General features: G+C 37.1%; 1 protein-coding gene across 9 annotated transcripts in view; it reads left to right on the top strand.

Annotated features, from left to right (window-relative positions):
- Positions 1-5,607, top strand: part of NUP35 (nucleoporin 35) — a 44,167-nt gene extending 38,560 nt beyond the window's left edge. For all 9 annotated transcript variants that reach the window (NR_109856.2, XM_011510577.3, XM_011510576.4 and 6 more), the window contains 4 exons: positions 1,371-1,440; positions 2,210-2,338; positions 3,415-3,579; positions 4,981-5,607. Coding sequence is in view for 8 of the 9 variants with exons in the window: in XM_011510577.3 (XP_011508879.1) it covers positions 1,371-1,440; positions 2,210-2,338; positions 3,415-3,579; positions 4,981-5,058 (442 nt within the window). In the remaining variant the exon portion in view is untranslated. The remainder of the gene's footprint in view (positions 1-1,370; positions 1,441-2,209; positions 2,339-3,414; positions 3,580-4,980) is intronic.
- The last annotated feature ends 9,195 nt before the right edge of the window (positions 5,608-14,802 follow it).

The raw sequence follows: 14,802 nt of genomic DNA on the forward strand, positions 1-14,802 counted from the left end.
TGTTTTGGGTGATTCTGCTATAGAGTACTAGAATGTAAGTTTCTACTCAAAGTGGTCCAAGAGTTTTAGAATTATGTTTTATTTCTTAAGTACTTCCCTCACTTGCAGCCATTCTTTCTTCTTTTCATTTTTGTTTGATCTCTGCCCTGTAGGCACCCAACCTATTTGTTGTTTTTCTTTGTGGTTAGAAATTTCATGTCCAGATTTTATACAAATGAATTTTCAGTTCTGATTGCAGTGAATATTTTACTCATATAGATTTTATTTAATTAATTAATTTATTTTGAGATGAGGTCTTACTCTGTCACCCGGCTGGAGTGCAGTGGCACGATCTTGGCGCATTGCAACCTTTCCTTCCCAGGTTCAAGCGATACTTCTGCCTCAGCCGCCTGAGTAGCTGGGATTACAGGTGCCCGCCACCATGCCCAGCTGATTTTTTGTATTTTTAGTAGAGGCGGGGTTTCACCAGGTTGGCCAGGCTGGTCTCGAACTCCTGACCTCAAGTGATCCACCCACCTCGGCCTCCCAAAGTGCTGGTTGGTATTACAGGTGTGAGCCATCGTGCCCAGCCTCACATAGATTTTTAATGTGTTTGGTTTCTGATTTATTTTTGAGACTCGAATTTTTTTTTTTCTTTAGGGTTCTAATTCAGTCTTCAGATAACTGAAGTTAGATAGCCATTTCTATGCGATTGGTAGTGGTTATTGTTTTCAAATTGAAAACAGCTTTATTGTTAAGACTATAAAAGAATAATATGTCATTGTAAAATATCCAAACCATACAGAACTTTATAAAGAAGAAAGTAAAAATTACTTAGAATTTTCTCATGCAGAGATATGGCTAATCAAATTTTGGTAACTGTCCTTTTAAGTGATTCTATACCATAAATATTTTGATGCTGAATTTTCTCTTTGTTATGATACTAAATTTCAGAATTTTTAAGTGATGCTCAATGTATAATGATTCGTTTATAATTTAAAATTCTTTATCTTTTCATAACCGTAGTATACCTAAATATATTACATATTAACATACACATATTGAAATAAATTATATATAGAACTGCAACTTTATAGTTTTTTTTCTAAGACCTGGATAATGGCAACGAGAGTAGCATTTTTAGAGATTTCAGAGGTAGAATCTGAGGATGGAGAAGAATGGCAGGATAAGACTAACTTTAAGGTATTTGCTTTTGAGTGACTAGTCACTGACAGAATTAGCCCATATCGGGGAAAACAGGATGATCAGCACTCTCCTGTTAACGTTCTAGACAGTTGGGGGCCATTTATCTTGAAACATTATCTTGTAGTAATTTGCATTCACATTGATAGTAGAAGCTGACGTTTTCTTTGGACAACTCTTTTTTTCAGGTTTCCTCAAGCATCTGCTTCCTACATATTACTACAATTTGCACAGTATGGGAATATCTTAAAACATGTGGTAAGGCTTAATTTTTTTCAGTTCAGAGTTTTGACTAAAGAGGGATAAGTTGTGAATTGAGAGAAACTGCTTCTGAATTTTGTGGGTTTTTTTTAAACTTAAATTTTTTTTTGAGTTTTGATATAATACATCCTTTGAAGTCTGGAAGGCTGGAAGTTGCCTAATTTTTGATAAAAAGAGATATAGTGAGAAGATATGGAGAATTGAGAGTTTGAAAATCCACCTCCTCTCACCTCCTTTCTTAAACAGTTTACAGTCTTAAAAAAGATAGATTATGCCAAGTATTATATTACTGTTTTCCAATTTGAGCTGCTTTTATTGGGGATAAAAGAAGTAGGAGGCAGTTCCTGAGCTTTTAGAGTTTTTAGAGCTTTATAGCTCTAAAATTTAAAAAATTATCTTACCTTGTGCTACAAGTTATAAGTAACAAATCCTTTTTTGTTGCTAGAGATTGACTTAACTCCTATACAAAATCAAATTGAGTAGTTTTAAATAACTTTATGGCAAGTGTTGCTTTGATCTCTTTACAATAAACATATTTTGAGAAGTATCTTACTTTCAGAGAATATGTACATGTTGATTGTAGAGAATTGAGAGATTGTTGAAGCTGTTCTAAATACGATTTTTGTTGAACTTTACAGCTTTTTACAAGGCATCAAATACGGAATGGAAGTAAATTTATCTTACCATGTTCCTATTTTCTAGTAGAATTCATTAGATGTAGATTTTATATATTTTCTATTTTAAGAGACAGTTTTATTCTTTGCAGATGTCTAATACAGGAAATTGGATGCATATTCGTTATCAATCTAAACTGCAGGCTCGGAAAGCCTTAAGCAAAGATGGGAGGATTTTTGGAGAATCCATCATGATTGGTGTAAAACCATGTATTGACAAAGTAAGTTATTGGTGATGTAGGCAAAGTAGCTTAATCTATATGAAGAGCACAAGACCAAGGATTGAAATTGGTCGTTGTGTCACTTGGTTTCACTGTGTCTGTTTTTCTTAGTTTGTAAAATGTGATGATGTTTATAGTACTCTTTGTGGTAAGCCGAAGGTATTTAATCATAGAGTTTAGAATTTAGAGGTAATCTGTCCTCACCTCTTCATTTTTCAGATAAAGAAACTGAGAGGGCTTAAGTAACTTGTCCAGAGTTGTTAAAGGTGAGGCCTAGATTTTAGGTCTCTTGACTACTAATCCATTCTCTTTCTTGTGCAAAGCGATACCAGATTCTTTAAAGTACTTAAATGGAATGGTACTATTTCAGAATGAATTAGTTCATATTAACATTAACTGATAGTTAACTTTTAAATGTCAAAGGTTTTCGTTTCAAAATATTTCTGTTTAAAACTATTTTAAAATTATTCTATATATACTCATTAAATAGTACAGAGTACAATTTAAACTGTTCTTTGTGGCTTGTTAAATCATTGTGAACATTCTTTAAGTATATGTGAACTTGTACTACATTCCAGGCATTGTGCTTGGTGCTAGTATACACACATTAATGAACAAAGCAAGATGTGGTTCCTATTCTTAAAATCTGTTATATCAGTGTAGTTATATAGTTATAATACTGTGCTGTAACAAATGTTTGCAGAGGCCAGAAGAATATTTGGGGTAACTAAGTGCTAAATAGCACTGGAGTTTGATTCTTTCCAATCCAGGTTTCCCTAAGAATTTTTTTGTCCTTGCTGATTTTTCATAGTGTTTTAGGAAATTCTTATTTTTGTGGTCTATAGTTGTATTGAGATTGTTTGAGGTCACTGAAGTGAGATTTCTGTCTGAGCATTCAATCTCAAATGCTACCTAAGAAGCAAATATTTTCTCAAGCCTAAAATTATTTGCAAGTTTAATTAGAGCAAATAAAGTATTTCATCTTTATCTTTTAATTAAATTTTCTAAGTAGGATGTAATACTGGATGATATGTATTATGTTTATAAACAAAGGAGTTATTTCTTTGTTTCTCCAGAGTGTTATGGAAAGCAGTGACAGATGTGCTTTATCATCTCCATCTTTAGCCTTTACACCACCAATCAAAACTCTAGGTACACCAACACAACCTGGAAGTACTCCTAGGATTTCTACCATGAGACCTCTTGCTACAGCATACAAAGCCTCTACTAGTGATTATCAGGTATTTTAAGGATTGGATAAAAAAAGATGTACTTTAATGGCTGAGTGCATAGCATGCTTAACTTTTTCATTGTATTGATTTGTATGCCATTAAATGTTTCCTGTGGAGGCTATTACCTTGATGAAACCTTTACGCTTTAAAAGTTTTCTGCTTTAAAGTTAACATCTTGGCCAATTGGAAAGTTATCATGAATTAAAAAAAAAAAATTATTTGCCATTCCTTTAAATTTTTTGAAAGTTGTTTTAGCTTTTTCTAAGTTATATTTGCATACATACGAAATGTATCCTGTGTGCATCTTTGACATGAGGGCGCATTAAAACTTTATTAAATTGATGACTAAATTGATGGTATCCAAAGTGCAGAACCTTAGGTTGGAGTAGCTTTGGTTATTTAAATGAAGACATTGACCAACCTCCAGACAGAAAAAAATTTCTCACTTCAAAAAAGCTTAAAGAAGTTAATTATGTTCTTTGAAGAATGGTAGAAGTATTATGATCTCATTCAGTATATTATTGTCTCCTACTGACTAGCCAAGTGTTCGAACTTAACCAGCTGCAGAAACAGGTCCTGAAACACACAGTACATGAAACACTTGTGCTTTAGTAGGGCAGATAGTGGTAGTTCAGTTTTTTGACTTCCTCTGAAATTTGGAGATTATTCTAGAACTGTTTTTTTCTTTAGGTTCTATTACTGTTATTTTAAATTTCCCATTCAGTGCAGCTTTTGTTATTCAATTTTTCTTTCTTTTGTTTTGAGACGGAATGTCTCTCTGTTACCTAGGCTGGAGTACAGTGGTGCTATCCCAGCTCACTGCAACCTCTGCCTCCTGGGTTCAGGTGATTCTCCTGCCTCAGCCTCCTGAGTAGATTACAGGCACGTGCCACCACGCCCAGCTAATTTTTTGTATTTTTAGTAGAGATGGGACCATGTTGGCCAGGGTGGTCTCAAACTTTTGACCTCAAGTAATCTGCCCACCTTGGCCTCCCAAAGTGCTGGGATTACAGACCTGAGCCACTGCGCCCAGCTATTCAATTTTCTAATTTAAGAAACAGATGTTATTTGCTTTGCCAAAGGAATAAAATTTTGGCATTCTTAAAAGCATAAGGATATTCTAAGTCCATATTTTAATTTTAAAAATATACAATTCAGGCCGGGCGCAGGGGCTCATGCCTGTAATCCCAGCACTTTGGCAGGCCGAGGCGGGCGGATCACGAGGTCAGGAGATCGAGACCATCCTGGCTAACACGGTGAAACCCCGTCTCTACTAAAAATACAAAAATTTACAATTTAGTGCTATAAATGCATTTTGGTGTTTCTCTTTTAAATGAGCAATTCTAGAATTGCCTATGACACTGAAGTAACAATAACCTAACCGTTTTTTTTGTGTGTGTTTTTTAATAGGTTATTTCTGACAGACAAACGCCAAAAAAAGATGAAAGTCTTGTATCCAAAGCAATGGAGTACATGTTTGGCTGGTAGTAGAACACCAAGAAGGAGGTTGCTACACTAAAACAGAGTTAGCAGAGTGCTGCTGGTTCCTTCGGTTAGTTATATAACTGTTCCTGCAGTATTGGATAGCTATCTCATACTTCTTTTAGAAAGAAGCCTTTTTCATTAAGGATACAACCTATTTGTAGCTCGCACTTTAAAAGATGCTTGAGATACATTTTAAAGAAAACTAAAAATCCCTGTAAATAGGATTTTGTGCTTTCTGTAACAGTGCATGCTTCAGCACAGAAAACTCAGCATTGATTATTGTAAATTAAATAACTGAAATTGTGGTGAGACGTCATAGTCTTCATGAGAACGTGGGGGTGAATTTCATGAAGGGGAACTATAGTTATTTCTACCGACACAAATATTATAATTAGCAATTTGAATTATGGTCTTTTAATTTAGATAGTATTTAATATTTTAATTATCCTTGTTTGTATATGTCCTGTCACAGAGTGTCCTCTTGGTGTATTCTAAAACGAGCATTCTTTTAAAAAACCTAAAGTTTCTTGATAATAAACATTGTCAATGATATGTGTATTAGTCTGTTTGCATTGCTATAAAGGAGTACCTGAGGCAGGATAATTTATTAAAAATAAGAGGTTTATTTGGCTCAGGGTTTAATTGGCTTGTAGCTGTACAAGAAGCATGATGCTTTACTTGTGGAGGAAAGTAAAGAAGAGTGAGCATATCACATGGTGAAAGAGAGGAAGAGAGCAGGAAGAAGGAAGTTCTAGACTCTTTTTAATAACCAGATCTCACATGAACTCATTACTGCAGGGAGGACACCAAGCCATTCATGAGGGATCTGCCCCCATGATCTAAACATCTCCCACTAGTCCCCACTTCCAACATCGGGGACCATATTTCAACATGAGATTTGAAGGGGACAGATATCCAAATGATATCAATATGTATTGAACATTTTTTGAAAGGGTGATTTATTATAAAAAGCTTTAAGTATTCATTGAAAGAGAAAATATGTATGAACCACTATATACCAGCTTTAATTACCATTAAATTTTGCCATACTTGTTTCTTTTCTTTCCCTTTTATTTTGTTTAAAGCACATCCCAGATAAGATGTCATTTTACTCTAAATACGTGAGGATATATCAAAAAAGAATATTTCTACATGGAATTACAATGTCAGTATCCCATTGAACATAATTAATACCTTTTTTTTTTTTTTTTGAGACAGAGTCTTGCTGTGTCACCCATACTGGAGTGCAGTGGTGCGATCTTGGCTCCCTGCAGCCTCTACTTCCTGGGCTCAAGTGATTCTTGTGCCTCAGCTTCCCAATTAGCTGGGACTACAGGCGTGTGCCACCATGCCTGGCTAATTTTTGTATTTTTAGTAGAGACGGGATTTCACCATGTTGGCCAGGTTGATATTGAACTCTTGAACTCAAGTGATTCACCTACCACGGCCTCCTAAAGAGCTGGGAAGTATTACTAAGTAATACTAAGGAATGTACTGGCATGAATGAAGATTCATTTATAAAGTATATTTTCATCTGAAAACTTTTACATTGAAGTCTTTTTCTTCCAGTTTAGGATTATATTTTATATCCTATTTCATAATGTGCAGAACTCAATTATTCAATATAGAACTGGCTACTAAATTCCATTTTAAAAGTCGTGCATTTGTATTTGAATTAATACACATTTTATTAAAAGGGTTGTTTATTGGAGGGGGTGTTTTATTTATTTGCATAGGCCTTTATGGACTGTGAAGTTTGCTTTTGGGCAAAAAATATTTGTTTGCTATATTTTGTTATTTCTCTTGGTATCATATCTTACCCATCTTTGTATCTGTCATTTATTTTAAAAGATCCAGGAAAATTTCAGAAAGCGAGCTGTCCTATTTTTGAACACTATATAAAAACAACAAAAATGGAATATCTGTGATGTTAGGAAAGTTACCCTGAACTAAGCCTCCTTTTAAAAGCTCAGAGAAGCTGACTTCAAAAAAAATAACGTGAAACTATAATCATGCAAGTTTGTTTAAAAAAAAAAAAGAGTATAAGGAAGAAAATAACATCCCTGTAGACATTGAAAGCACACCAGAAAGGCATGCCCATAAATGGATAGAAGCTATAGAGTAGTACTTAAAATTGAGTTTTAAGACATTTAGAAAATGATACAAGATATGAAAGAACAACAAAAATAAAATTGAAGAACTTGGGAAAATGTTAGTAATAGAGGAAAATCACTCATAAATTAAGACTAGAATAAACAACAGCTGATGAACAACAGATATGCCCTAAAAGAAATGAAAGATAAAAATGGAGGACTTTTAGAAATCAGAAAGAAAAGAGATAAAAAGGATTAGTAGGGGTATGACAAACTCTAGAGACAGAAAAAATGCAACATACAGAACAAAATCAAATGACTACTTTGATGAAAAAAATTTGGAACTACACATTGGAAGAGTAACCTGCCTACCTGAGATTATTATACTGGGACAACCAATGGCAATATACAAACTTTGGGTTTGACTAGACAAAAACAGCAAATGACTTACAAGAGCAAGAGTTAAAACAGCAGCACTATGTCAGGAGGAAAAAGAATAGCCTCTTTAAGATATCTGTAGAAAGAAAATGTGAGTAAAAGATTTTGTATCTACCAAAACTGATTAAGTATAAAAATAACTCCTCAGACACTATCAGTGTGCAAGAATTCAGGAAACGTGTTTCCCTTGAGTGTGTCCTGAGGAATGGACTAGAAAATGCACCTCCAGCAAGCTAAATGCCTAGAAAGATGACATAAAGGCTGGTGAGCATTTAATTTTATGTTACATCATGAGCAAAGTGCTGACCAGGTTTATTGCTTGAATTGAAGCTCAGGCCACTAGGTAGCTTTTCCCTTATCACTGTCTTTCAAGTCTACTCAGGCTAATATGACAGGAGTCAGTCTTTGGTTTACAGTAAAATACCAAGCTGATTTATCTGTGAACCAAGCCTGGGGTTTTTTCCTCCTCTGTCACCTGATAGTAGTGGTGAACCCCAACGAAGCCATGAGCTGAGGGAAAGGTGCTGGTGTCTTGGAGGTAAGTTACATGGGCCACCTTTTCATGGAAGTGGGAGCCCTAGGAACGGCTTGGGCACCATCCTGAATGTAACATGAGTTATTACTATGCTGGTCTATTCTTTGGGTTTGGTGGATCTGACAATACCCAGCTCATGATGGATAGCTCTGGTCACATAGTTGATGTGCTCTGATGTGAGGAGCTACTCTCTAAATAGTGACTAGTTATCTGCTGCGGAAAGACTGACTGAGCTCCAGAAACCTAAAGGTCTGTGTTACGACTTATGCAATCAGGGCTTGCCAGAGACTCTGTAGCATCCTTGTCTACCAGGAATGTCTCTGGCATCATGGGATTTGCCAGGTCATATGGCCTAAATGTCGAGTTATTTGTACTATAAGCTGGAACTTGCTCCAGAACTCCCTCACTCTGGGCCCCACTAAAATCTAAGCCACATAAGAAATGGGTCAAAGGAGTTTTCCTATCTACAATTTGTGTTTCTAAAATCCAGAAGCTTATAAAGTGCTGTATCTCTTTTTAATGGTAGGAGGATCAAGGTGAAATAAATTATCCTTTAGTGACGGGCAGTCCTAGCATGCTCCAGACCAATGGATCCCTCATAACTTCACCAGTGTGGTTGTCCTTTGAATTTTTGTGGTTTATCTTTAACCTTCTGGAATGCATGTGACTTAGGGCATCCTGAGTACTTCCAGTTTGTTTATTTATTTATTTATTTTTGAGACTGAGTTTCGCTCTTGTTGCGTGGGCTGGAGTGCAATGGCGGGATCTTGGCTCACTGCAACCTCTGCCTCCCAGGTTCAAGTGATTCTCTGAGTAGCTGGGATTACAGGCGCCCACCACCATGCACGGCTAATTTTTTGTATTTTTAGTAGAGACAGGGTTTCCCATGTTGGCCAGGCTGGTCTCGAACTCCTGACCTCAGATGATCCACCCGCCTCAGCCTCCCAAAGTGCTGGGATTATAGGCATGAGCCGTCGCACCCGGCCAGTTACTTCTTTAAAAAAATAATTTTTGTTGTGGTACAATACATATTACATTAAAATTACCATTTTAACATCCCCCCCCCCCTTTTTTTTTTTTTGGCGACAGCGTCTCTCACCTGGGCTGGAGTGCAGTGGTGCTATCACAGCTCACTGCAGCCTCAACCTCCTGGGCTAAAGTGATCCTCCTACTTCAGCCTCCCGAGTAGCTGGGACAACAGGCATATACCACCATGCCTGTCTAATTTGTATTTTTTAGTAGAGTTTGCCACGTTGCCCAGCCTGGTCTTGAACTCCTGGGCTCAAGTGATCTGCCTACCTCGGCCTCCCAAAGTGCAGTGATTACCAGTGAGGGCCACCGTACCCATCTCATCTTAAAACAATTTTTAAGAGATGTTCAGTGATATTACATACATTCATAATATGCAACCATCATCACTATCCATTGCCATAATTCTTTCAATCTTGCACAAATGAAACTTTATCCATTAAGTAATACCCCTCCCCTTCTCCCAGGCCCTAGCAACCACTATTCTTTCTGGCTCCAAAATTTTGACTATGCTTCCTCATATAAGTGGAATCTTCCAGTATTTGTATTTTTGTGACTTATTTCATTTAGCATGATATCTTCAAGATTCATATATGTTACAGCGTATGTCAGAATTTCCTTTTTAAGGCTGAATAATATTCTCTTGTATGTATATTACCATATTTGATTATCCATTTTTTGATTTGTTGTACACAGCAACTAGAACAGAGGGTAAGAACACAGAATACATTAATACCTTGTCTAAGATCACATAGATAAGTAGTAACAGCAATAGGATAAAAACTTTTTTTTTTTTTTTTTAGAATGCAGTTCTGTGGAACTGTAACATTTTGAGATTTAGGTGTTTTTAGTTTCTATTTTAGGTCCAGGAGTACATATGCAGTGTTGTTACATATGTTAATTGTGTGTTACAGGGATTTAGTGTACAGATTGTTTTGTCACTCGGGTAATAAACATGGTACATGATAGGTAGTTTTTCAGTCCTCTCCCTTCTCCCACCCTCCCAACTTCTGTTGTTCCCTTCTTTGTGTCCATATGTAGTCAATGTTTAGCTTCCACATTGAGTACACATGGAATGAGAACATGCAGTATTTGGTTTTCTGTTCGTGTGTTAGATTGCTTAGTATAATGGCCTGCCTCTCCATACATGTTGCTGCAAGGGACATCATTTTCTTCTTTTTTATGGCTGCGTAGTATTCCATGGAATATATGTACCATATTTTCTTTATCCAGTCTATTACTGTTGTTGGGTATTTACGTTGATTCCATGTCTTTGCTGTTGTGAATAGTGCTGTGATGAATATATGTATGCATGTATTTTTATGGTAGGATGATTTATATTCCTCTGGGTATATACCCAACAGTGAGGTTTCTGGGTTGAATGGTAATTCTGTTTTAAGTTCTCTGAGGAATTGCCACATTGCTTTCCACAATGGCTGAACCAATTTACCTTCCTACCATCAGTGTGTAAGTGTTCCCTCTTCTCTGCAACCTTGCCAACATTTTTGTTGACTTTTTAATAGCCATTCAAACTGGTGTGAGATGATATCTCACTGTGGTTTTGATTTGAATTTTTGTGATTAGTGATGTTGAACATTTTTTCATATGCTTGTCAGCTGTATATATGTCTTCTTTTGAAAGGTGTCCGTTCATATCCTTTGCCCACTTTTTAATGGGGTTGTTTTTGCTTGTTAATTTAAGTTCCTTATAGATTCTGGATATTAGACCTTTGTGGGATGTACAGTTTGCAAATATTTTCTTTAGTTCTGTAGGTTATCTATTTAATCTGTGTAATGGTTAATAGTGTCAACTTGATTGGATTGAGGGATACAAAGTATTCATCCTGGGTGTGTCTGTGAGGGTGTTGCCAAAAGAGATTAACATTTGAGTCGGTTGACTGGGGAAGGTAGATCCACCCTTAATCTGGTGGGCACAATCTAATCAGCTGCCAGCAAATACAAAGCAGGCAGAAAAGGAGGGAGACAGGCCTAGCCTCGCAGCCTACATCTTTCATCTTTCTCTTGTGTTGGATGCTTCCTGCCCTCGAACATCAGACTCCAAGTTTTTCAGTTTTGGGACTCCGACTGTCTCTCCTTGCTCCTCAGCTTGCAGACAGCCTATTTTGGGACGTTGTGATCTTGTAAGTTAATACTTAATATACTCCCCTTTATTTATATATATGTATATATATTTATATTTATATATTTATATGTCTAATATTGTCAGTGGGGTGTTGAAGTCTCCCACTATTATTGTGTGGTTATATAGGATATATATATAGGATATATATATATCTCCTATTAGTTCTGTCCCTCTAAGATAACCCTGACTAATACCATCTGTTTATAGGTTGTTTTGTTTTGTTTTGCTGTGCAGGAGCTCTTTAGTTTAATTAGGTCCCATTTGTCAAGTTTTGTTTTTGTTGCAATTGCTTTTGGCGCCTTCGTCATGAAATCTTTGCCAGGGCCAGTATCCAGAATGGTATTGCCTAGGTTTTCTTTCAGGGGTTTTATAGTTTTAGGTTTTGCATTTAACTCCTTAATCCATCTCAAGGTGATTTTTGTATATGGTATAAGGAAGGAGTCCAGTTTAAATAGTCTGCATATGTCTAGCCAGTTACCCCAGCACCATTTATTGAATAGGGAGTCCTTTCCCCATTGCTTATTTCTGTCAACTCTGTTGAAGATCAGATGGTTGTAGGTGTGCAGTTTTATTTCTGAGCTTTTTCGTTTGTTTGTTTTGTTTTGTTTTTTGAGATGGAGTTTCACTCTTGTTGCCCAGGCTGGCGTGCAATGGCATGATCTTTGGTCACTGCAACCTCCACCTCCTGGGTTCAAGTGATTCTCCTGCCTCAGCCTCCTGAGTAGCTGGGATTACAGGCATGTGCCACCACGCCTGGCTAATTTTGTATTTTTAGTAGAGATGAGGTTTCACCATGTTGGTCAGGCTGGTCTCGGAACTCCTGACCTCAGGTGAACCTCCTGCCTGATTTCTTTATTTGTCTCTGTGTCTGTTTTTGTACCCGTACCATGCTGTTTTGGTTACAGTAGCCCTGTAGTATAGTTTGAAGTTGGGTAATGTGATGCCTCCAGCTTTGTTCATTTTGCTTAGGATTGCCTTGGCTATTTGGGCTCTTTTTTGGTTCCGTGAATTTTAAAATAGTTTTTTTCTAATTCTGTGAAGAATGTCAATGGTAACTTAATGGGAATAGCATTGAATCTATAAATTACTTTGGACATTATGACCATTTTAACAATATTGATTATTCCTGTCCATGAGCATGGATTATTTTTCCATTGGTTGTATTATCTCTGATTTCTTTCAGCAGTGTTTTATGATTCTTGTTGTAGAGATCTTTCACCTCCCTTGTTAGCTGTATTTCTAGGTATTTTATAACTTTTGTGGCTATTGTGAATGGTATTGCATTCTTTATTAGGCTTTTGGCTTGGACGTTCTTGGTGTTTAGAAATGCTACTGATTTTTGTACACTGATTTTATGTCCTGAAACTTTGCTGAAGTTGTATATCAGATTTAGGAGCTTTTGGGCAGAGCTTATGGAGTTTTTTAGGTATAGAATCATATTGTCTGCAAACAGAGATAGACTGACTTTCTCTCTATTTGGATGCCTTTCATTTCTTTCCCTTGACTGAGTGCTCTAGCCAGGAATTCTACTACTGCATTGAATAGGAGTGGTGAGAGTGGGCATCGTTGTCTTGATACGGTTCTCAAGGGAAATGCTTCCAGCTTTTGCCCGTTCAGTATGATGTTGGCTGTAGGTTTGTCATAGATGGCTCTTATTATTTTGAGGTGCTTTCCTTCAATGACTAGTTTGTTGAGAGTTTTTGACGTGAAGGGATGTTGAATTTTATTGAAAGCCTTTTCTGCATCTATTGAGATGGTTTTTATACTTACTTCTGGTTTATGTGGTGAATCATATTTACTGATTTGTATATGTTGAAGCAACCTTGTATCCCAGGGATAAACTCTGCTTGATTTTATAGATTACCTTTTTACTATGCTGCTGGTTTTAGTTTGCTAGTATTTTGTTGAGGATTTTTGCATCTATGCTCATCAAGGATATTGACCTGAAGTTTAGTTTCCTTATCTTGTCTTGTCTTGTCCTGTCCTGTCCTGTCTTTTCAGACAGTCTCACTCTGTTGCCTAGGCTGGAGTGCAGTGTCGCAATCTCGGCTCACTGCAACCTCCGCCTCCTGGGTTCATTCAAGAAAGCTCCTAAATCTGTTCATTCAAGTATTCAAGTGATTCTTCTTCCTCAGCTTCCCGAGTAGCTGGGACTACAGTAGCCCAGCTAATTTTTGTATTTTTAGTAGAGACAGGGTTTCACCGTGTGGCCAGGCTGGTCTCAAACTCCTGACCTCAAGTGATCTGCCCGCCTCAGTCTCCCACAGTACTAGGTTTACAGGTGTGAGCCACTGGGCCTAGCCAACTTTTCCCTCTTAACACTTCTTTAGCTGTGTGCTAGAGATTCTGATATGTTGTTTTATTCAATTAATTTCTTTATTTCTATCTTAATTTCCTGTTTATACAAATGTTATTCAGGAGCAGTTGTTTAATTTCCATTTAATTACATGATTCTGAGTGATTTTCTTAGTTTTGATTTCCATTTTTATTGTGCTGTGGTCCGAGAGTGTGTTTGGTATGATTTAAATTTTTTTGAATTTGGTGAGGATTGTCTTATGGCTGATTATGTGGTTGATTTTAGAGTGTGTGCCATGTGCAGATGAGAATATATATTCTGTTGTTTTGGGGTGGAGAGTTCTGTTAGGCCCCTTGGTCAAATGTTGAGTTCATGTCCGGAATATCTTTGTTAGTTTTCTGCCTCAGTGATCTGTCTAATATTGTCAGTGGGGTGTTGAAGTCTCCCACTATTATTGTGTGGTTATCTAGGTCTCTTGTGTCGGTCTCTAAGAACTTGCTTTATGAATTTGGATGCTCCTGTGTTGGGTGCATATATTAATATAAGGATAGTTTGGTCTTCTTGTGGAACACTTTACCATTGTGTAATGCCCTTCTTTATCTTTTCTGATCATTGTTGGTCGAAAGTCTGTTTTGTCTGAAATTGGAATAGCAACCCCTGCTTTTTTCTGTTTACTGTTTTTTTGTTTGTTTGTTTTTGAGACAGAGTCTCGCTCTGTCACCCAGGCTGAAGTGCAGTGGTGCGATCTTGGCTAACTGCAAGCTCCGCCTCCTGGGTTCACGCCATTCTCCTGCCTCAGCCTCCCGAGTAACTGGGACTACAGGCGCCCGCCACCACGCCCGGCTAATTTCTTTTTGTATTTTTAGTAGAGACGGGGTTTCACAGTGTTAGCCAGGATAGTCTCGATCTCCTGACCTCGTGATCTACCCTCCTTGGCCTCCCAAAGTGCTGGGATTACAGGCGTGAGCCACTGCGCCCTACCATTTGTATTTTTGTCTGACAGAGTTATTTTGGAGAAGCAGTCTTCAGGTTCTGAGATTGTTTCCTCATCTTGGTGAATTCTGCTGTTAATACTTGTGGTTGTATTATGAAATTCTTGAAGTGAGTTTTTGAGCTCTGTCAATTCAGTAGTTCTTTCTTAAAAGGATCATTTTGTCTTTTATCTGCTTTATCATTTTATTGTAGTCCTTAGAGTCCTTGGATTGGGTTTTGGC

The sequence above is a fragment of the Homo sapiens genome, chromosome 2 (genome assembly GCF_000001405.40).
Source record: "Homo sapiens chromosome 2, GRCh38.p14 Primary Assembly".
NCBI classification, from domain to species: domain Eukaryota; kingdom Metazoa; phylum Chordata; class Mammalia; order Primates; family Hominidae; genus Homo; species Homo sapiens.